A 23,338-nucleotide genomic window follows, 5' to 3' on the forward strand; every position below is an offset into this window, starting at 1 on the left:
TGTGATATTTGTCTTTCTGTGCCTGACTTATTTCACTTAATGTAATGACCTCCAGTTCCATCCATGTTGCTGCAAATGACAGGATTTCATTCTTTATTTTGTGATTGAATAGTATTCCATTGTGCATATCTACCAAATTTTCTTTATTCATTTATCTCTTGATGGATGCTTACGTTGATTCCATATCTTGGCAAAAGTGCTATACTATAAAAAACGTGGGCATGCAAATATCTCTTTGATATATTGGTTTTCTTTCTTTTGGATATGTACCAAGCAGGGGGATTGGTAGATCATATGGTGGACCCACTTTTAGTTTTTAGAAGACTCTCCATACTGTTTTTCATAGTAGCTGTACTAATTTACATTCCTACTAGCAGTGTACTAGTGTTCCCCTTTCTTTGCATATTCACTAGCATCTGTTATTTGTCTTTTTAATGGTAGCATTTAACTGAGGTGAGATATTTCATTGTGCCTTTCATTTGTGTTTCTTTGATGATTAGTGATGTTGAACATTTTTTTCATATGACTGTTGACAATCTGTATGTCTTCTTCTGAGAAATGTCTATTCAGATACTTGCTCATTTTAAATTCAGATTATTATTATTTGCCATTGAGTTTGAATTCCTTATATATTCTGGTTATTAACTCCTTGTCAGATGGTTAGTTTACAAATATTTTCTCCCATTCTGTAGGATATCTTTTCACTCTGTTGATTGTCTCTTTTGTTGTATAGAAGATTTTTGGCTTGATATTATCTCATTTGTCTATTTTTTTGTTGTTGTTGCCTGTGCTTTTGAAGTTTTACCTCAAAAATCTTTGCCCAGATCAATATCCTGTACTATTTCTCCATTTACTTTTCAGTAGTTTCATAGTTTCAGGTGGTATGTTTTTATTTGATTTTTAGATATTGTGAAAGATAGGGACCTAGTTTCATTATTTTGTATATGGATATCCAGTTTTACCAGAACTATTTATTGAAGAGACTGTTCTTTCCCCACTGAATTTTTTTTTTTTTTGGTCAAAAATCAGTTTGCTGTAAATACATAGATTTATTTCTGGGTTCTCTATTCTGTTCTATTAGTCTATGTGTCTGTTTTTGTACCAGTATTATGCTGTTTTAGTTAGAGGGTGAGGATGTATATTTTAGGGTCAGGTAGTATAATGCCTCTAGCTTTGTCCTTTTGCTCAGGGTTGCTTTGGCTATTTGGGTCTTCTGTGGTTCTATATAAATTTAGAATTGTTTTTCTATTTCTTTGAAGAATGTCATTGGTATTCTGTTAGGGATTGCATTGGATCTGTAGATTGCTTTGGGTAGTATAATCATTTTCCCAATATCAGTTCTTTAATTTATGAATGTGGGATGTCTTTTCATTTTTTGGTGACCTCTTCAGTTTCTTTCATCAATGTTTTATAGTTTTCCTTGTAGAGATGTTTCACTTCCTTGGTTAAATTTATTTCTAGGTATTTTTTCTGTAGCTGTTGTAAATGGGATTGCTTTCTTGATTTCCTTTTCACCTAGTCATTGTTGGTGTATAGAAATGCTACTGATTTTAGCATGTTAATTTTGTATTTTGCAATGTTACTGAATTTGTTTATCAGTTCTAAGAGTTTTTTGGTGGGGCTTTCAGGGTATATATAAGATCATGTCTGGTAACAGAACAATTTAACTTATTCCTTTCCCATTTGGATGTCATTTATTTTATCCTTTTGCTTTATTGCCCTAGCTAGGACTTACCATATTATGTTCTATGTTGAATACGTGTGGTGAGAGTGGGCATTCTTATTTCATTCCATTTCTTAGAAAACAACCGTTTTCTGTTCAGTATAATGTTAGCTGTAGGTTTGTCACATATGGCCTTTATTGTGTTGATGTACACTCCTTCTATACTTAGTTTTTTGAAGATTTTTAAAATTATGAGTGCATGTGAAATTTCATCACATGCCTTTTCTGCATCTATTGAGATGATCATATGGTTTTTATTCTTTGTTTTGTTGATATGATACATTACATTTATTGATTTGCATATACCAAATTCTTGTATCCTTGGCTTAAATCCCACTTGATCATGGTGAATAATCTCTTTAATTTGCTGATAGATTCAGTTTGCTAGTATTTTGCTGAGAATTTTTAGATCTATGTTCATCTGGGATATTGGCCTATAGTTTTTTTTGTTTTGTTTTGTTTTCTTTTCTTTTCTGGTTTTGGTATCAGGGTAACATGGGCCTTTTAGAATGAGTTAGAATAATTCCCTCCTTTTCTACATTCTGGAAGAGTTTGTGAAGAATTGGTACTCATTTTCCTTTAAGTGTTTAGTAGAATTCAGTAGTGAACTCATCACGTTCCACACTTTTCTTTGATGGAAGGCTTTATTTCTTTTCTTTTTTTGTTCTTTTTCTTTTCTTTTTAAGACAGGGTCTCATTCTGTTGTCTAGGCTGGAGTTCAGTGGTGTGATCATCGTTCACTTTAACCTCAATCTCCTGGGCTAAAGCGATTCTCCTGCTCTGGCCTCCCAAAGTGCTGGGATTACATATGTGAGAAACTGCACCTGGCTGGGAGACTTCTTATTACTGATTCAATCTCATTACTCATAATTGTTTTGTTAAGATGTTCTATTACTTCTTGGTTTAATTTTGGTAGATTGTATGTGACCAGGAATTTGTCCATTTTTACTAGGCTTTCCTATCTGTTATTGTTGTCCATAGTACTCTCTAATGATCCGTTGTATATCTGTGGTATTAGTTGTAAGGTCTCTTGTTTATTTATAATTTTATTGATTTGGATACATTCTCTTTTTTTCTTGGTTAGTCTGGCTAAGCGTTTGTCAAGTTGGTTTACCTTTTCATAAAACCACCTTTTCACTTTGTTGTTATTTTGTATTTTTTTTATGTCTCACTTTTCTTTATTTCTACTCTGATCTTTATTATTTCTTTCCTACTACTAATTTTGGTTTAGGCTTGTTCTTGTTTTTCTTGCTTTTTGAGAGGAATTATTAGGTTTGTTATGTAAATCTTTTTACTTTTTTGATATAGGCATTTGTTGCTATAAACTTTCCCCTTGATACCACTTTTGCTGTATCCTACGGGTTTTGGTATGTTGTGTTTCTATTTTCTCCCTTCCCCCTTCACTTCCCCCTTCCCTTCTCCCTTCCTTTCCCCCTTCCCTTCTCCCTTCCCTTCCCCCTTCTCTTGCTTTCCCTTCCCCCTTCTCTTCCCTTCCCCCTTTGCTTCCCTTTCCCCTTCCCTTCCCCTTCCCCCTTCCCTTCCCCCTTCCTTCCTTTCCCTTCTCCCTTCCCCCTTCCTCCCCTTCCCTTCCCTTTCCCCTTCCCTTCCCCCTTCCTTCCCCTCCCCTTCCCTTCCCTTCCTTTCCCTTCCCCCTTCCCTTTCCCCCTTCCCCCTTCCCTTCCCTTCCCCCTTCCCTTCCCTTCCCCCTTCCCTTCCTTTCCCTTCCCCCTTTCCTTCCTTTCCCTTCCCCATTCACTTCCACCTTCCCTTCCCTCCCCTCCCCTCCCCCTCCTCCCCTCCGCTTCCCTTCCTCCTTCCCTTCCCTACCCTTCACTTCCCTTCCCCCTTCCCTTCCCTACACTTCGCTTCCCTTCCTCCTTCCCTTCCCTTCACGTCCCCCTTCACGTTTTTCCCCCTTCACTTCCCCTTCCCCTCCCCTCCCCTCCCCTCTGTTCTCCTCTCCTTTCCTCCTTCTTCTTTCTTCTTTGATACAGGTTCTCACTTTGTCATCCAGGCTGGAGTGTAGTGGCACAATCATGGCTCACTGTAGCCTCAACTTCCTGGGATCAAGTGATCCTCCTAGCTCAGCCTCCCTAGTAGCTAGGACTACAGGTGTGTGCCACCATGCCCAGCTACATTTTGTATTTTTTTGTAACAGGGGTTTGCCATGTTGCCCAGGCTGGTCTCAAACTCCTGGGCTTAAGCAATCTGCTCATCTTAGCCTCCCAAGGTGCTGGGATTACAGGCTTGAGCCACTGCAGTCAGTCTATTGTCATTATTTCAAGAAAATTAAAATTTTCTTCTTAATTTCTTCATTGACCAACTAATTGTTCAGGAGGCTGATGTTTAATTTCCATGTATTTGTACAGATTCCAAAGTTCATTTGTTACTGATTTCTAGTTTTATTCCATTATGGTCAGAAAAGATACTTGATATAATTTCAATTATTTTAAATTTCTTGAGATTTGTTTTGTGACCTAACACATGGTGTATCCTGGAGAATATTCCATGTGCTGAAGAGAGAAATGTATATTCTGCAGCTGTTGGATAAAATGTTCTGTAAATGTCTGTTAGATTTATTTTGTCTAAAGTGCAGTTTAAATCTAATATTTCTGTGTTGATTTTCTGTGTAAGGTATCTGTTCAATGCTGAGAAAGTGGTGTTTAGGTCCCTAACTATTACTGTATTGGAGTCTAGCCCTCTCTTTAGATCTAATAATATTTGCTTTACATATCTGGGTGCTTTGATGTTGAATATATGTTTATAATTGTTATATTATCTTGCTGAATTGATCCATTTATTTTTATATAATAACCATTTTTTGTCTCTTTTATAGTTATTGACTTAAAATCTGTTTTATCTGATATAAGTATAGCCACTCTTGCTGGCTTTTGATTTCCATTTGTGTGGAATATCTTTTCCTATCCCTTCACTTTCAGTCTATATGTCTTTAAAGGTGAAGTGAGTTTCCTGTAGGCAGCATACAGTTGGATTATTTAAAAAATGTATTCAGCCAGTCTGTATCTTTTATTGAGGAATGTAATCTGTTTATACTGTTTATTGAGGGTGAGGATGTACTCTTGTTATTTTGTTAATTGTTTTCTTGTTGTTTCTATCTTCTCGTTTATTTTTTTAATCTCATTTATCTTTTTGGTTTGCCGGTTTTCTGTAGTGACAAACTTTGATTCTTTCCTCTTTATCATTTGTGTATCTGCTCTACCAGTGAGTTTTATACTTTTGTGTGTTATTGTGATAGTGATTATCATCTTTTTGGTTCCAGATGCAGAACTTTCTTAAGCATTTTTTTATACTGCCAGTCTAGTGGTGACAATTTTCCTCAGTTTTTGCTTGCCTGAGAAAGAGTTTATTTCTTCCTCATTTTTGGAGGATAGCTTTTCTAGGTATGGTATTCTTGGCTTGCAATTGTTTTCTTTTAGTATTTTTAATATATCATCCCATTCTCTTCTTGCCTGTAAGGTTTCTACTGAGAAATCTATTGTTAGTCTAACGAGGATTCCTTTATATTGACTTAATACCTTTCTCTTGATGTTTTTTTTTTTTTTTAAATTCTCTTTGCCTTTGAGTTTTGACAGTTTGACTATAATGTGCCTCAGGGAGGATCTTTTTGGGTTGAATCTACTTGGGGCTTTTCAGCTTCCTGGATCTGGATATCCATATTTCTTCTCAGAACTGGAAAGTTTTCAGCTATTATTGCAGTAAATAGATCTTCTATGCCTTTGCCTATCTCTTTTCCTTCTGGCATTACTATTATATGAATGTTTTTTACTTAATGGTGTACCATAATTCTTGTAGGTTTTCTTTACTCTTTTTTATTTTTATTTTTTTTTCTAACTGGATAATTTTAAATGACATATCTTCAAGTTCAGAGATTCTTTCTTCTGCTTTATCAAGTCTGCTTTCGATGGTCTTGATTGCATTTTTTATTTTATTCATTGAATTCTTTAACTGCAGGATTTCTGTTTGGTTCTTCATTATGGTATCTATCTTTTTGTGGAATTTCACATTTATGTAAAAATATGGAAAGTTTTACAAATTTGCGTGTCATTCTCATGCAGGATCCATGCTAATCTGATAATCTCCTCTTTATTATTCCAGTTTTAATATATGTGCTGCTGAAGTGAGCATAAGATGTTTACTCTTATCATGACAATTCAGTATTTTACTAAAGGTAGTAGCCAGTGCAATAAGTCACAGAAAATAAATAAAAGGCATATGTAGGAAAAAGGCAAACAAAAATTTGGGCAACATGCTTGTGTGTATTAAAAATTCTAAGAGTTTAAAAAATGTGCACTAGAACTAATAAAGAAATTTAGCAAAGTCACAGTATGCAAAATAAATAGACAAAATCAATTGTTTTATAAACTATCAATAATTTGAATATGAAATTAAATAAAAATAATACAATGTGTAATAAAAATATGAAAAATTTAGTAAACGATATGTAGTAACTCTACATTTAAAACTATAGAACACTGCTTAAAAATTAAGAAAGACCTAAAAATGTGGAACAATGTGCTATACTAGGATTGGGAGACTTAGTACTGCATTGTTAATTTGGTAATTCTTCCTAAACTGATGTATAGATTCACTGTGATCACAATCAAAAGCTCATGTGGCTGTTTTGGTAGAGATTGCTGATTTTATTTTGAAATTTATAGGCAATGCAAATAATCCAGAATAGACAAAACAATTTTGAAAAAGAAGAACAAAGTTGGGTAACTTAAGTTTATTGACTTTAAGACTAATCATAGAGTTACAGTAATCAGAGTTTAGAAATATATGATTCACACTTATGTGGTTATATAATTTTTGACAAAGTTACCAAGGTAATTCAATGGGGGTAGAGGTAGTCTTTTTAACAAATGGTGCTGAAATAACTGGATATTTATATAGATAAAATAAATCTTATCTTTTACTTTGTATAGCACATAATAATTTATATAAAATTAATTATGGACTTCAATGTAAATATTAAAATTATGAAATGTCTAGAAGAAAACATAGAAAAATGTTATTATTACCTAGGAATCAGCAGACATTTCTTGTCTAGTACTCAAGAAACATAAAAAAGTAAATAATTTTAGCAAATTTTACTTTATCAAAATTAAAACTTCTATTCTTAAACAGCATGAGTAGGTAAACAAAAACACAAGTTTCAGGCAGGTGGAGTATATTCGTAGTTCATACTATTGAAAAATGATTTATCTCCAGAATGTACAAAGATTCCTATAAAAATAATAATTTAAAAATTAAAGTCAAGAAAACTGGATGAAAAACTTAAATATTTCACATAGGAATATTTTTAAATGGCAAATACACTCATGAAAATGTGTTTGACATTAATTGTCATCTGAGATATGCAAAGAGAAAATATAATGAGAAACCAGTAAACATCTACTATAATGGCTAAAATTACAAGGGATGATAGCACCAGATGTTAATGGTGATATAGAGCAACCAGAACTTTCATACATTGCTATTTGGAAGTGTATTAGTCTATTTTCATGCTGTTGGTAAAGACATACCTGAGACTGGGCACTTTACAAAAGAAAGAAGTTTAATTGCACTTACAGTTCCACATGGCTGGGGAAGCCTCAAAATCATAGCAGAAGGCAAGGAGGAGCAAGTCATGTATTATGTGGATGGTGGCAGGCACTTGTGCAGGGAAACTCCCCTTTTTATAACCATCTGATCTCATGAGACTTATTCACTATTACGAGAACAGCATGGGGAAGACCTGCCCCCATGATTCAATTAGCTCCCACTGGGTCCCTTCCACAAAACATGGGAATTCAAGATGAGATTTGGATGTGGACACAGCCAAACCATATCATTCTGCCCCTAGCCCCTCCCAAATCTCATGTCCTTATATTTCAAAATCAATCATGCCTTCCCAACAGTCCCTCAAAGTCTTAACTCATTTCAGAATAACTCAGAAGTCCACAATCCAAAGTCCCATTCGAGATGAGGCAAGTCCCTTCCACCTATGAGCCTGTAAAACCAAAAGCTGGTTCAGTTACTTCATAGGTACAATGGGGGTACAGGCATTGGGTAAATACAGCCATTCCAAATGGGAGATATTGGCCAAAACAAAGGGGCTACAGGACCCATGTGAGTGTGAAATCTTGCAGGGCAGTCAAAGCTTAAAGCTCCAAAGTGATCTTCTTTGACTCCATGTCTCACATCCAGGTCATGCTGATGCAAGAGGTGGGTTCCCATGGTCTTGGGCAGCTCTGACCCTGTGGCTTTGGAGGGTACAGCCTCCCTCCCAGCTGATTTCATGGGCTGGCATTGTCTGTGGCTTTTCCAGGCACATGGTGCATGCTGTCAGTGGATCTACCATTTTGGGGCCTGGAGGACAGCAGCCCTCTTCTCATAGCTCCCCTAGGCAGTGTCCCAGTAGGGACTCTGTATGGGGACTCTGACCCCACAATTCCCTTCTGCACTGCCCGAGCAGAAGTTCTCCATGAGAGCCCCACCCCTGCAGCAAACTTCTCTCTGGACATCCAGGCATTTCCCTACATAGTCTGAAATTTAGGTGGAGGTTCCCAAACCTCAATTCTTGACTTCTGTGCATCTGCAGGCTCAACACCACATGGAAACTGTGAAGGCTTGAGGCTCGCACCCTCCAAAGCCATGGCCCGAGCTGTACATTGGCCCCTTTTAGCTATGGCTGGAGCAGCTGGGATACAAGGCACCAAGTCCCTAGGCTGCACACAGGACTGGAACCCTGGGCCTGGCCCAAGAAACCACTTTTTCCTCCTAGAACTCTGGGCCTGTGATGGGAGGAGCTGCTGTGAAGACCTCTGACATGCCTTGAAGATATTTTCCCCATTGTCTTGGGGATTAACATTTGGCTCCTCATTACTTATGCAAATTTCTACAGCCAGCTTGAATTTCTCCTCAGAAAATGTGTTTCTCTTTTCTATTGCATTGTCAGGCTGAAAATTTTCTGAACTTTTATGCTGTGCTTCCCTTATAAAACTGAATGCCTTTAACAGCACCCAGAACATCTCTTGAATGCTTTGCTGCTTAGAAATTTCTTCTGCCAGATACCCTAAATCATCTCTCTCAAGTTTGAAGTTCCACAAATCTCTAGGGCAGGGGCAAAATGCCACCAGTCTTTTTGCTAAAACATAACAAGAGTAACTTTTACTCAATTTCCCAACAGGTTATTTGTCTTCATCTGAGAACACCTCAGCCTGGATTTCATTGTCGATATCATTATCAGTATTTTTGTCAAAGCCATTCAACAAGTCTCTAGGAAATTACAAACTTTACCACATTTTCCTGTCTTCTTCTGAGCCCCCCAAAACCTCTACTGTTACCCAGTTCCAAAGTCACTTCCACATTTTTGGGTATCTTTTCAGCAGTGCCCCACTGTACTGCTACCAATTTACTGTATTCATTTTCATGCTGTTGATGAAGACCTACCCGAGACTGGGCAATTTACAAAAGAAAGAGGTTTGGTTGGACTAACAGTTCCACATGGCTGAGGAAGCCTCACAATCACGGAAGAAGGCAAGGAGGAACAAGTCATGTCTTACATGGTTGGTGGCAGGCAAACGGAGGAGCATTTGTGCAGGGAAACTCACCTTTTTATAACCATCAGATCTTGTGAGACTTATTCAGTGTCACCAGAACAGCATGGGAAAGACGTGCTCACATGATACAGTTACCTCCCACTGGGTCCTTTCCACAACATGTGGGAATTGAAGATGAGATTTGTGTGGGGACACAGCCAAACCATATCAGGAGGGTAAAATAATTCAGTTACTTTGGAAAAGTTAGGCAAATTCTTATAAAATTAGACCTAGACATACTCTATCACTCTGCAATTCCACTCCTAGGTGTTTACCCAAGAAAAATAAAAGCACATAAGCCCCCCTCTCCCCACACAAAAGACAAAAGACTTACATACACACAAAATATTTGCATATATGTGTTAAAAATAGCTTTATTCATAATAGCTGAAACCTGAAAAGTATCTAAATGTTCATCAATAAGTGAATGGAGAAGCAAATTATGACATATTCTTTTTGTTATGTTTGTTTTTCTTTTTCTTTTTTAAATTTTTTTATTTTTTATTTTTTATTATACTTTAAGTTTTAGGGTACATGTGCTCAATGTGCAGGTTAGTTACATATGTATACATGTGCCATGCTGGTGCGCTGCACCCACTAACTCGTCGTCTAGCATTAGGTATATCTCCCAATGCTATCCCTCCCCACTCCTGCCACTCCACAACAGTCCCCAGAGTGTGATGTTCCCCTTCCTGTGTCCATGTGTTCTCATTGTTCAATTCCCACCTATGAGTGAGAATATGCGGTGTTTGGTTTTTTATTCTTGTGATAGTTTACTGAGAATGATGATTTCCAATTTCATCCCTGTCCCTATAAAGGACATGAACTCATCATTTTTTATGGCTGCATAGTATTCCATGGTGTATATGTGCCACATTTTCTTAATCCAGTCTATCATTGTTGGACATTTGGGTTGGTTCCAAGTCTTTGCTATCGTGAATAGTGCCGCAATAAATATACGTGTGCATGTGTCTTTATAGCAGCATGATTTATAGTCCTTTGGGTATATACCCAGTAATGGGATGGCTGGGTCAAATGGTATTTCTAGTTCTAGATCCCCGAGGAATCGCCACACTGACTTCCACAATGGTTGAACTAGTTTACAGTCCCACCAACAGTGTAAAAGTGTTCTATTTCTCCACATCCTCTCCAGCACCTGTTGTTTCCTGACTTTTTAATGATTGCCATTCTAACTGGGGTGAGAAAATATCTCATTGTGGTTTTCATTTGCATTTCTCTGATGGCCAGTGATAGTGAGCATTTTTTCATGTGTTTTTTGGCTGCATAAATGTCTTCTTTTGAGAAGTGTCTGTTCATATCCTTCACCCACTTTTTGATGGGGTTGTTTGTTTTTTTCTTGTAAATTTGTTTGAGTTCATTGTACATTCTGGATATTAACCCTTTGTCAGATGAGTAGGTCGTGAAAATTTTCTCTCATTTTATAGGTTGCCTGTTCACTCTGATGGTAGTTTCTTTTGCTGTGCAGTAGCTCTTTAGTTTAATTAGATCCCATTTGTCAATTTTGTCTTCTGTTGCCACTGCTTTTGGTGTTTTAGACATGAAGTCCTTGCCCATGCCTATGTCCTGAATGGTAATGCCTAGGTTTTCTTCTAGGGTTTTTATGGTTTTAGGTCTAACGTTTAAGTCTTTAATCCATCTTGAATTAATTTTTGTATAAGGTGTGAGGAAGGGATCCAGTTTCAGCTTTTTACATATGGCTAGCCAGTTTTCCCAGGACCATTTATTAAATAGAGAATGCTTTCCCCATTGCTTGTTTTTCTCAGGTTTGTCAAAGATCAGATAGTTGTAGATATGTGGTATTATTTCTGAGGGCTCTGTTCTGTTCCATTGATCTATATTTCTGTTTTGGTACCAGTACCATGCTGTTTTGGTTACTGTAGCCTTGTAGTATAGTTTGAAATCAGGTAGCATGATGCCTCCAGCTTTGTTCTTTTGCCTTAGGATTGACTTGGCGATGCGGGCTCTTTTTTGGTTCCATACGAACTTTAAAGTAGTTTTTTCCAATTCTGTGAAGAAAGTCATTGGTAGCTTGATGGGGATGGCATTGAAACTATAAATTACCTTGGGCAGTATGGTCATTTTTACGATATTAATTTTTCCTACCCATGAGCATGGAATGTTCTTCCTTTTGTTTGTATCCTCTTTTATTTTGTTGAGCAGTGGTTTGTAGTTCTCCTTGAAGAGGTCCTTCACATCCCTTGTAAGTTGGATTCCTAGGTATTTTATTCTCTTTGAAGCAATTGTGAATGGGAGTTCACTCATGATTTGGCTCTCTGTTTGTCTGTTATTGGTGTATAAGAATGCTTGTGATTTTTGTACATTGATTTTGTATCCTGAGACTTTGCTGAAGTTGCTTATCAGCCTAAGGAGATTTGGGGCTGAGACTATGGGGTTTTCTAGATATACAGTCATGTCATCTGCAAACAGGGACAATTTGACTTCCTTTTTTTCCTAATTGAATACCCTTTATTTCCTTCTCCTGCCTAATTGCCCTGGCCAGAACTTCCAACACTATGTTGAATAGGAGTGGTGAGAGAGTGCATCCCTGTCTTGTGCCAGTTTTCAAAGGGAATGCTTCCAGTTTTTGCCCATGCAGTATGATATTGGCTGTGGGTTTGTCATAGATAGCTTTTATTGTTTTGAGATACGTCCCATCAATACCTAATTTATTGAGAGTTTTTAGCATGAAGCGTTGTTGAATTTTGTCAAAGGCCTTTTCTGCATCTATTGAGATAATCATGTGGTTTTTGTCTTTGGTTCTGTTTATATGCTGAATTACATTTATTGATTTTCGTATATTGAACCAGACTTGCATCCCAGGGATGAAGCCCAATTGATCATGGTGGATAAGCTTTTTGATGTGCTGCTGGATTTGGTTTGCCAGTATTTTATTGAGGATTTTTGCGTCAATGTTCATCAAGGATATTGGTCTAAAATTCTCTTTTTTGGTTGTGTCTCTGCCTGGCTTTGGTATCATAATGATGCTGGCCTCATAAAATGAGTTAGGGAGGATTCCCTCTTTTTCTATTGATTGGAATAGTTTCAGAAGGAATGGTACCAGTTCCTCCTTGTATCTCTGGTAGAATTCGGCTGTGAATCCATCTGGTACTGGACTCTTTTTGGTTGGTAAGCTATTGATTATTGCCACAATTTCAGCTCCTGTTATTGGTCGATTCAGAGATTCAACTTCTTCCTGGTTTAGTCTTGGGAGGGTGTATGTGTCAAGGAATTTATCCATTTCTTCTAGATTTTCCAGTTTATTTGTGTAGAGGTGTTTGTAGTAATCTCTGATGGTAGTTTGTATTTCTGTGGGATCGGTGGTGATATCCCCTTTATCATTTTTTATTGCGTCTATTTGATTCTTCTCTCTTTTTTTCTTTATTAGTCTTGCTAGCGGTCTATCAATTTTGTTGATCCTTTCAAAAAACCAGCTTCTGGATTCATTAATTTTTTGAAGGGTTTTTGTGTCTCTATTTCCTTCAGTTCTGCTCTGATTTTAGTTATTTCTTGCCTTGTGCTAGCTTTTGAATGTGTTTGCTCTTGCTTTTCTAGTTCTTTTAATTGTGATGTTAGGGCATCAATTTTGGATCTTTCCTGCTTTCTCTTGTGGGCATTTAGTGCTATAAATTTCCCTCTGCGTGGTGCTTTGAATGTGTCCCAGAGATTCTGGTATGTTGTGTCTTTGTTCTCGTTGGTTTCAGAGAACATCTTTATTTCTGCCTTCATTTCATTATGTACCCAGTAGTCATTCAGGAGCAGGTTGTTCAGTTTCCATGTAGTTGAGCGGTTTTGAGTGAGTTTCTTAATCCTGAGTTCTAGTTTGATTGCACTGTGGTCTGAGAGATAGTTTGTTATAATTTCTGTTCTTTTACACTTACTGAGGAGAGCTTTACTTCCAAGTATGTGGTCGATTTTGGAATAGGTGTGGTGTGGTGTTGAAAAAAATGTATATTCTGTTGATTTGGGGTGGAGAGTTCTGTAGATGTCTATTAGGTCCACTTGGTGCAGAGCTGAGTTCTATTCCTGGATATCCTTGTTAGCTTTCTGTCTTATTGATCTGTCTAATGTTGACAGTGGGGTGTTAATGTCTCCCATTATTATTGTGTGGGAGTCCAAGTCTCTTTGTAGGTCACTCAGGACTTGCTTTATGAATCTGGGTGCTCCTGTATTGGGTGCATATATGTTTAGGGCAGTTAGCTTTTCTTGTTGAATTGATCCCTTTACCATTATGTAATGACCTTCTTTGTCTCTTTTGATCTTTGTTGGTTTAAAGTCTGTTTTATCAGAGACTAGGATTGCAACCCCTGCCTTTTTTTGTTTTCCATTTGCTTGGTAGATCTTCCTCCATCCTTTTATTTTGAGCCTATGTGTGTCTCTGCAGGTGAGATGGGTTTCCTGAATACAGCACACTGATGGGTCTTGACTCTTTATCCAATTTGCCAGTCTGTGTCTTTTAATTGGAGCATTTAGTACATTTACATTTAAAGTTAATATTGTCAGGTGTGAATTTGATCCTGTCATTATGACATTAGCTGGTTATTTTGCTCGTTAGTTGATGCAGTTTCTTCCTAGTCTCGATGGTCTTTACATTTTGGCATGATTTTGCAGTGGCTGGTACTGGTTGTTCCTTTTCATGTTTAGTGCTTCCTTCAGGAGCTCTTTTAGGGCAGGCCTGGTGGTGACAAAATCTCTCAGCATTTGCTTGTCTGTAAAGTATTTTATTTTTCCTTCACTTATGAAGCTTAGTTTGGCTGGATATGAAATTCTGGGTTGAAAATTCTTTTCTTTAAGTATCTTGAATATTGGCCCCCACTCTCTTCTGGCTTGTAGAGTTTCTGCCAAGAGATCCGCTGTTAGTCTGATGGGCTTCCCTTTGTGGGTAACCCGACCTTCCTCTCTGGCTGCCCTTAACATTTTTTCCTTCATTTCAACTTTGGTGAATCTGACAATTATGTGTCTTGGAGTTGCTCTTCTTGGGGAGTATCTTTGTGGCGTTCTCTGTATTTCCTGAATCTGAACATTGGCCTGCCTAGCTAGATTGGGGAAGTTCTCCTGGATAATATCCTGCAGCGTGTTTTCCAACTTGGTTCCATACTCCCCGTCACTTTCAGGTACACCAATCAGATGTAGATTTGGTCTTTTCACATAGTCCCATATTTCTTGGAGGCTTTGTTTATTTCTTTTTATTCTTTTTTCTCTAAACTTCCATTCTTGCTTCATTTCTTTCATTTCATCTTCCATCACTGATACCCTTTCTTCCAGTTGATTGCATGTGCTCCTGAGGCTTCTGTATTCTTCACGTAGTTCTCGAGCCTTGGCTTTCAGCTCCATCATCTCCTTTAAGCACTTCTCTGTATTGGTTATTCTAGTTATACGTTAGTCTAAATTTTTTTCAAAGTTTTTAGCTTCTTTGCCTTTGGTTTGAATTTCCTCCTGTAGCTCGTAGTTTGATCATCTGAAGCCTTCTTCTCTCAGCTTGTCAAAGTCATTCTCCGTCCAGGTTTGTTCCATTGCTGGTGAGGAACTGCGTTCCTTTGGAGGAGGAGTGGTGCTCTCCTTTTTAGAGTTTCCAGTTTTTCTGCTCTGTTTTTTCCCCCATTTTTGTGGTTTTATCTACTTTTGGTCTTTGATGATGGTGATGTACAGATGGGTTTTTGGTGTGTATGTCCTTTCTGTTTGTTAGTTTTCCTTCTAACAGACAGGACCCTCAGCTGCAGGTCTGTTGGAGTTTGCTAGAGGTCCACTCCAGACCCTGTTTGCCTGGGTATCAGCAGCGGTGTCTGCAGAAGAGTGGTTTTTCATGAACCGTGAATGCTGCTGTCTGATCGTTCCTCTGGAAGTTTTGCCTCAGAGGAGTACCGGGCCGTGTGAGGTGTCCGTCTGCCCCTACTGGGGGGTGCCTCCCAGTTAGGCTGCTCAGGGGTCAGGGGTCAGGGACCCACTTGAGGAGGCAGTCTGCCCGTTCTCACATCTCCAGCTGCGTGCTGGGAGAACCACTACTGTCTTCAAAGCTGTCAGACAGGGACATTTATGTTTGCAGAGGTTACTCCTGTCTTTTTGTTTGTCTGTGCCCTGCCCCCAGAGGTGGAGCCTACAGAGGCAGGCAGGCCTACTTGAGCTGTGGTGGGCTCCACACAGTTGGAGCTTCCCAGCTGCTTTGTTTACCTAAGCAAGCCTGGGCAATGGCGGGCGCCCCTCCTGCAGCCTCGCTGTCACTTTAAAGTTTGATCTCAGACTGCTGTGCTAGCAATCAGCAAGACTCTGTGGGCATAGGACCCTCTAAGCCAGGTGCGGGATATAATCTCGTGGTGCGCCGTTTTTTAAGGCCGTCAGAAAAGCGCAGTATTAGGGTGGGAGTGACCCGATTTTCCAGGTGCCATCTGTCACCCCTTTCTTTGACTAGGAAAGGGAACTCCCTGACCCCTTGTGCTTCCCAGGTGAGGCAATGCCTCGCCCTGCTTCGGCTCACGCACACCGTGCGCTACACCCACTGACCTGTGCCCATTCTCTGGCACTCCCTAGTGAGATGAACCTGGTACCTCAGATGGAAATGCAGAAATCACCCGTCTTCTGCGTCCCTCAAGCTGGGAGCTGTAGACCGGAGCTGTTCCTGTTTGGCCATCTTGGTTCCTCCATGGCGTAATCTTACAATGAAATACTACTCAGCAATAGAATAAAGTAAGTTTTGATAAATTAAATGATGAGTGAATCTCAAAGTATCCTGATCATGAAGAGCCAGGGAAAATATGCAAAAATTGTACATTAGTGTAAAATTCCTGAGTAGACAAAAACAATAAATGTTGATAGAAACAAGATCAGTGCTTGCTTCTGGAAAAGTTTAGTGATTTGCTTACAAGGGATCATTCTGAGGTAATGAAAATGTTCTGTCTTGATGGGTGTGTATGTCACACAAATGTATATTTCTATCAAAACCTTCTATGCATATATTTCAGATCAGTATATTTTACTATATGTAATTTATACCTCAATAAAAAAAAATCATGCTAGTGTCAGCTAAAACATCTTACTAGTTAAGCAGAAAGTTTCAAGCCTGCTAGAGAATTCTTTACTTGCTTCAGGGATGAAATATGAAATATAATCATTTTTACACCAGTCAATTGAGACTACTACTTCTAAAGTTATAAATAATGTAGATGGAATGAAAGAATTAAGGGGGTAAGGAAGAGATAGACATGGACAGAGGGAGATGAAAAGGTGGTAAATGTGGTTTAGTGAGGGTAAACACAGCTCTGGTGGAATTTAATATTCCTCCCGACATGTGTTTATTTTCTTCTCTTTAGGGATCTGTGGCCTTTCTATAAAAACAGAATGCTAAAGCGGGTGAACTTTCTGTCTCTCCCATCTATCTCATGGTGAGGAAGGAAAGGGATGATTCATGGAATGCCTCTTGCTCTTTAGGTTTGGAGGATCCTTTCCCCACATTTTGCTCAGTTGTCAATGCATATTATTTAGGAGAACATTTATTAATGTATTAGATATCTGTTGTGCTGCTGTTACAGGCATCAGCTCATTTGTTATACTAAGGATACAACAAATCAGACAAAGTCCTTGTTCTTTTGAAGCTTAAACTCCATTGCAAATCAAAGGACAACAGTGAGCAAACATGCTAATATGTACTATGTATGTGGTGTTAGTGCTTGCAGAAAATAAGCCAGAATGAGGAGAACAGGAAGTGCTGGGATGGTGCAAGTAGCTTTTTATACAAGGTGGTCGGGATGCCTTTGCTTCACATGTCTTTTGAGAAGAGGTCTTAAGTAAATGATGGAGTATGTGGTATGGCCTCTAATGGGAAGAATACCAGGCAGAGAGAACGACAAGTACAAAAACCATGAGGTGGGAATATGTTTGGTGGTTTGAAGAATACCAAAGTGATAAGTGTGGCTGGGGAAGAGTGAATAGAAGAAAGAGTGGTAGGAGATGAGGTCATTGGAAGGACTTTGGAGGAGTCTTTGTTTTGTTTTTCAGCAGATAAGATTTTACTTGGGTTTTAATGAGTAATTCTGGCTACTGTGTGAATAATATATGTTACAAAACAAGGATAGAATTAGGGAGACCAGTTAGAAGATTACTGCTTCTCTAGACGACGACGATGGTGTCTTGGGCCAGGCTGGGACTTGGGTATGTGAGGGATATCTAAAGTATACTTGCCTATATGATGGGTCATCGTCTTCTAGGCACCTTGTTGAGAGCCATCTTGCTCCAACTACTTCCCTTCCCAAAGCAATCTCTCCTTCTCATAGCTTACATCTAGCAAGAGAAATTTCCATTGCAGGTGGACTCCTGAGGACCTAGCTCAGTTTCTCCAGAGGGTTCACAATGTAATGGCCATACACAGCACAAGGATGATTCAGGAGCTGGGGAAGACAGCAAGACACCAGGACACATGCCTTCCCTGGTCTATCCCTTCTCCCACTAGCCCGGGTTTCTGCTTTGTCACTTGATGGCACTCACACTGTTCAAATTTCTTAATTTTCTGTGAAATAAGTGTAATGAACTCTCATTATGAAAGTTCAGCCTTATTTCTCTGAAGGAGGATGGTTAGCATGAAAGAAAGATAAAAAGATCCACAAAAGATTCATTGCTTCTCTGGAATGTAATAGATGAGGAGCTCCTGAGGGGGCCTGTGGGATTGAAATATAACATGAATGTTAAACAGTCCAAGCTTGATGAGATTCAAGCAGAGAATGGTTTTATGTTTCACTGCTGTCTTTAGTATACTCTGGCTCATCTTTCTCTCAAAGTTCTTGATACCATCGTTAGAGGTTATGAAGTTTCTTGATCACATTCAACTTCAAGAGTAGGCTCACTTTGGTTATTAAGCCTCATTCTGTTGTAAAGAGATCTTGCCTAGTCTAAATAAAAATTTCAGTCTCATACCCAGTTCAGATCTTCCCCTGTCGTTCTACCCCCTTCCCTTTCCCACTCCAGCTCAGGCCTGATCTGTGGCTCAGCTGTAGCAGTGTGTTGGAGATGGATCAAAGTCTCAGCAAGAGCCAACTGTTAGCATCTCTTTGCAATTCCAAGTTCAGTGTTGTCAGGTTGGTGGATTAAATCAGCCATGGTGGGAGTATTTGCACCATGGAAATTGGCAACCACTACAAACCAGGGTGTTTTCCACCAGGAGAGCCAGCAGCATACCACTGCTCAGAGGTGAGTAGTGGGGAAAGAACATTTAAAAAAATTGTCCTTTCCATCCTTCTCATCCTTTTCTGGCTCTTTCTTGTTCTGGGTAGGGGAGGGGATGAGATTTAAAACACAAAGAATATGTCGTTTAACTGGTGCTACTGCAGTCTGGCTGTTGATGCTGTCTGAGTGGCAGACATACATTGCTGGCTTTCACTTGGAGAACCAGCGTGGGCTGCTAGAAAGAACTTGCAGTATCTCCACATAAACAGTTCTCTGGCATGGGTGATGGGTTCCTTGGCTGACGTTTTGAGACTCTCCTTAGTTTTTGACCCCCTGCCGTAAAAAATGTAGCCTCTTTCTAACAGAGTTTCTTCATCTAAAAGGCCTTCTTAAGTGTATAGATTACATGTAAGATAGTCTAAATTCTACTTCCCTTTATAGCACCAGTCTGGTCTGTAAGAAACACATGCCTCCTGGTTATAAGGCAGGACAGGAGCCAAGGCTACCTCACTGCTGCCTTCTCTATTTTCTTCCTGACATCCAGGACCACCCCCACCATCTTCCTATGCTTAAGATTCTCCAGGTCACAAGTAGGTACCATCTCTATGTTCCCATATATCCCAGGTGATGGGGCTTTGTTGTGCTCCAGTGACCTTCCTCACTGTGATCCTGTCTGCTTTGATGGCAGCCCCAGGCTGAGCCCACAAATCCTGTATCTCAGCAGGCCTCTAGCCAGGCAGTGAAGGTGGTCTCCCCTCTTTAGGAACTTCTGTGTCTATAGATGATTGTCTGAGAGCTGACCTCACACTTGGCCTGGGACATATGGAATGTCACTGCTTTCACAACCCTCTAGTCCAGCATCACACACTCAAACTTCTTTTCTATTTTTATTCTTCTGCTTATATATTGGCTCTAGAAGCTTTCTGCATGTTCACCATGCAAGGACTATATTTCAAACCAAAAAACAAAAACAAAACAAATCTACCATTCCAAAAGTAAATTTAAGAGTTATCTACAGTCAGTGAAATGGGGTCTCCAGAGGTAAGTTTGGCTGACCCCAAGTGCATGCTTGCTCTTTAGGCAGCCTTGCATCTTAGTCTGACTTTGCAGCAGCTGTGCTTGAGGTGAGCAGAACAGCTTGTCATAACTTAACCCATACAGGTTTTTAGGCAACCTGGGACTTCAGGGGTCCAGGCTAGGGGAAAAGAAGAAAGGCTGAACAAGGGCAGGAGGAACACATTCCTTCTGGAGTGTGCCCAGGGATGTCTGGCAGCAGTCCCTGGTGTGCTGGCAATAGTAGCAACAGCAGATTTATCTGTCACCCACAGCTTTAGGGAATACCTTGCCATGCTTCAGGCAGTGGATTAAGCTCTTTTCTGCACTATATCATTTACCTTTCTCACAATCTCCATGAGTCAGGTACTATTACTTTCTCTGTTATACAGATGAGGAAACAAATGGGCAGAACATTTAGGTAATGTGCACAAGGTTGCACAGCTATTATGTGGCACTACTGTGGTTCAGTCCAATGTGGGCTGCCTCCACTGTTCGTGCTCTTACCCACTCCCCTTGACCGCTCCTCTGGGTTAGTGGTTAGAAACATACGTTTTGAGTTCAGGTGAGATTTGAGTTTCTGTGTGATTACAGGTGAGTTGCTTAAAGTATAAATGTTAGTAATAATTATTAACTGCACAGGGGAAAAGGGAGTGGTAACTCACCTCAGGTCCTATGCTATATTGTTCATTTATCCATTCATTTATCTATTTATCTTGGTATTTATTTACATATCAGGTTATTTACTCATTCATTAATATTTATTGAGCACTAACTGTGGCCCAGGCCCAGCACTGAGCACTTTGCATATCATCTAATTAGTAATCACACTTTTACACTACAGCATCTATTGCTCACCCAATTTTATAGCTAAGAAAATTGCAGTGGTTAAATTTTTGTCTTTGTTCAATTCCAAAGCCAATGTGCTTTTTTATGATAGTAAGATGTTCAAATGCAAAGCTTCGATTTGTTTGTTCATTTTTGTTCCTGTTATTATTCTAAGGGGTTGTGTTGGACAGAGAGCAGAAAGAGGAAGGGATCTCTAACAGATAAGGGCTCCATTAGCACACAGAAAAGATAGGAAAATACCCAGTGAGGCTGTCCAGAATACAAAAGGTGAGTATGAAAGATGACAAGCTCCCAAGCCTTTGCCAAGCACTGTTGAGAGGTGGCTGCAGAAGTCAGGGGAAGGTGAGTTCCCCAAGCCATCCCTGTCTTTGCTAAATCACTATCTGTCAGGGCCCAGCAAGAGGGAGAGAAACGCTTCAAGGAGGTCAGACTTCTCAAGGTTCCCTGATGTCTGCAGGCAGAGCTCTCAACTGGCAGGGATGCATTTTGCAAGGCTCTGTGGATGCTGAGAAGTGGGCATCAGACAGAATTATAACTCCTTTTCTACTTTCACATGAGATTTAAGTGGAAAGAAATGGGAAAAGTGTCCAGGACAATCGCCCTTCCAGCACCTAGTGTCCAGACAGGAAACTTGATTGGAGACTAGAGGTTTATGTTGCTGTGAGGACATTTCTCAAAGTCACAGGGGTTCTCAGGCAAGGTGAGGAGGCTTTATCATAGCACAGGAGAATACATCAGCTAAACCCCTCATCAGAGAAGCCGGGCCCCTCAGCCACAGTGCCACATGAGAAAACAACTCCTCTGTTGCCTTCCCACCTCCTTTCATTCAGTTTTCTCCTGCGGTGCCTGGCCCAGCCAAGGCCTTCTTAATAGGGCACTGTTTTTCCAACTGTGCTCTGGGTATTTCCCAAAGTTGTCTCCATGGCCACAGGAGTGACAGTTGAAGGCAGAGAGGAGCCAACATGGCCCAGCCAACACCTATAGCTCAACAGAGACACTCCATTCCTTTGGTTTACATATTATGGGCTTTGGTCTAAGGTTTTGTTGGAGGAAAGCCTTTTATTATCCAACATTCCCCACCAACAGTAAATCTAGACCAATAATGTGTGTTTTTTCTGCCTTTCTTAGGGCCTGATACATAGCAGATACAGTCATGCACCGCATAATGATGTTTTAGTCAAAAATGGACCACATATACAATGGTGGTCCCGTAAGATTATAATGCCGTGCTTTTACTGAATGTTTTCTATGTTTAGATACACAAATACTTACCATTGTGTTACAATTGCGTACAATATTCAATTAAGTAACATGCTTGTAGTCTAGGAGCAGTAGACTATCCCATGTAGCCTGGCTGTGTAGTAGGCTATACCATCTACATTTGTGTAAGTACAGTGTATGATGTTCACACAATGAGGAAGTCACCTAATGATGCATCTCTTGGAACGTATCCTGGTTGTTAACTGACATGACTGTACTTGCTAAATAGTAGCCATCATTAATAGTAGTGCTGCATGACATCTACCCTCAAGGAGCTTACAGATGTCAGAGGGTACAGATGTATTCCTCTTGTTCTTTCATGAGAAGCCATGCTAGGCCGTGTTTGCTCCTTGCACTCTTTATTCTCCTTCCAGAAGTTGTAATTCATCTCTGCTTGCCCTCTGTAATCTGGAATCCAAATGGAGGCTCTCCTATTCAAGTAACAGACAGCCTGTGATAAGATAATGGTGAGACCATGGATGGTAAAGTGCTTGGTGAATTGTAAAAGGCTGTAAAAATATTTGATGTTGGCCCAGCGCCATGGCTCATGCCTGTAATCCCAGCACTTTGGGAGGTGGAAGCAGGCAGATCATGAGGTCGGGAGTTCGAGACCAGACTGATCAACATGATGAAACCCTGTCTCTACTAAAAATACAAAAATTAGCCAGGCATGGTGGTGTGCACCTGTAATCCCAGCTACTCAGGAGGCTGAGGCAGGAGAATTGCTTGACCCTGGGAAGCGGAGGCTGCATTGAGCCAAAATCGCACCACTGCATTCCAGTCTGGGCAACAGGGCAAGACTCCATCTCAAAAACAAAAAAACAAAAATTGATGTCGTTACCCTTATTGTATTTTCAAGAGGAAACTGAGTCACAGTGAACACTCCTAGTGGAAATTTGGAAGAATTCCTTGGAACAGATGGACTGTAGTCCTCAAAAGCAGCACCTGTTCCTCAAGCATTTAGTCTGGGACACTGATGAGAAGTCGGTGTGGTGAGGTCTTTGCCTAAAGGGGGTGTATTAGTTTGTTCTTTCATTGCTGTAAAAAATACCTGAGACTGGATAATTAATAAAGAAAAAAGGTTTAACTGGCTCATGATACTGCAGTATCTAAAGGAAGCATAGTTGCTTCTGCTTCTGGGGAGGCTTCAGGAGGCTTCCAATCACGGCAGAAGGCAAAGGGGGAGCAAGTGTCTTACATGGCAGGAGGAGGAGCAAGAGAGAGAGAGCAGGAGGGAGGAAGTACTACACAAGTTTACATGACCAGTTCTTACAAGAACTCACTCACCATCACAGGAAGAGCACCGAGGGGATGGTGCTAAGCCATTCATGAGAATCCGCTCCCGTGATCCGGTCACCTCCCACCAGGCCCCATCTTCAACACTGGGGATTATAATTTGACATGAAATTTGGGGGGACACAGATCCAAATCATATCAGGGAGCTTGCCATGAAGCCTTAAATCACCCAACCCTACTTGCTCATGGCTTCAACTCAGTAGAATGACTTCTTTTTCTTCCCTCTCATACTTCTATGGGAAAGATAAATGGCAAAAGACAACATTGTATCAAATATTTATGTATTATTTTCATTTTTGCAAGCATTTATTTTTCAAGGGTAGTTTTAGGATATACCTCATGACAGTTCATTCAGTACACATTTATGAGATGGTGCCAGCTTCTC

At 39.8% G+C, this 23,338-nt stretch overlaps 1 long non-coding RNA gene and 1 pseudogene across 3 annotated transcripts in view; one reads left to right on the forward strand and one right to left on the reverse strand.

Annotated features, from left to right (window-relative positions):
* The window catches only part of LOC107984361 (uncharacterized), a 552,293-nt gene that overhangs the window by 282,982 nt on the left and 245,973 nt on the right, over positions 1-23,338 (forward strand). The window lies entirely within an intron of this gene.
* On the reverse strand, positions 5,755-5,869 carry LOC124902816 (uncharacterized; annotated as a pseudogene).

This window comes from Homo sapiens, chromosome 11, assembly GCF_000001405.40.
Source record: "Homo sapiens chromosome 11, GRCh38.p14 Primary Assembly".
Lineage (NCBI taxonomy): Eukaryota > Metazoa > Chordata > Mammalia > Primates > Hominidae > Homo > Homo sapiens.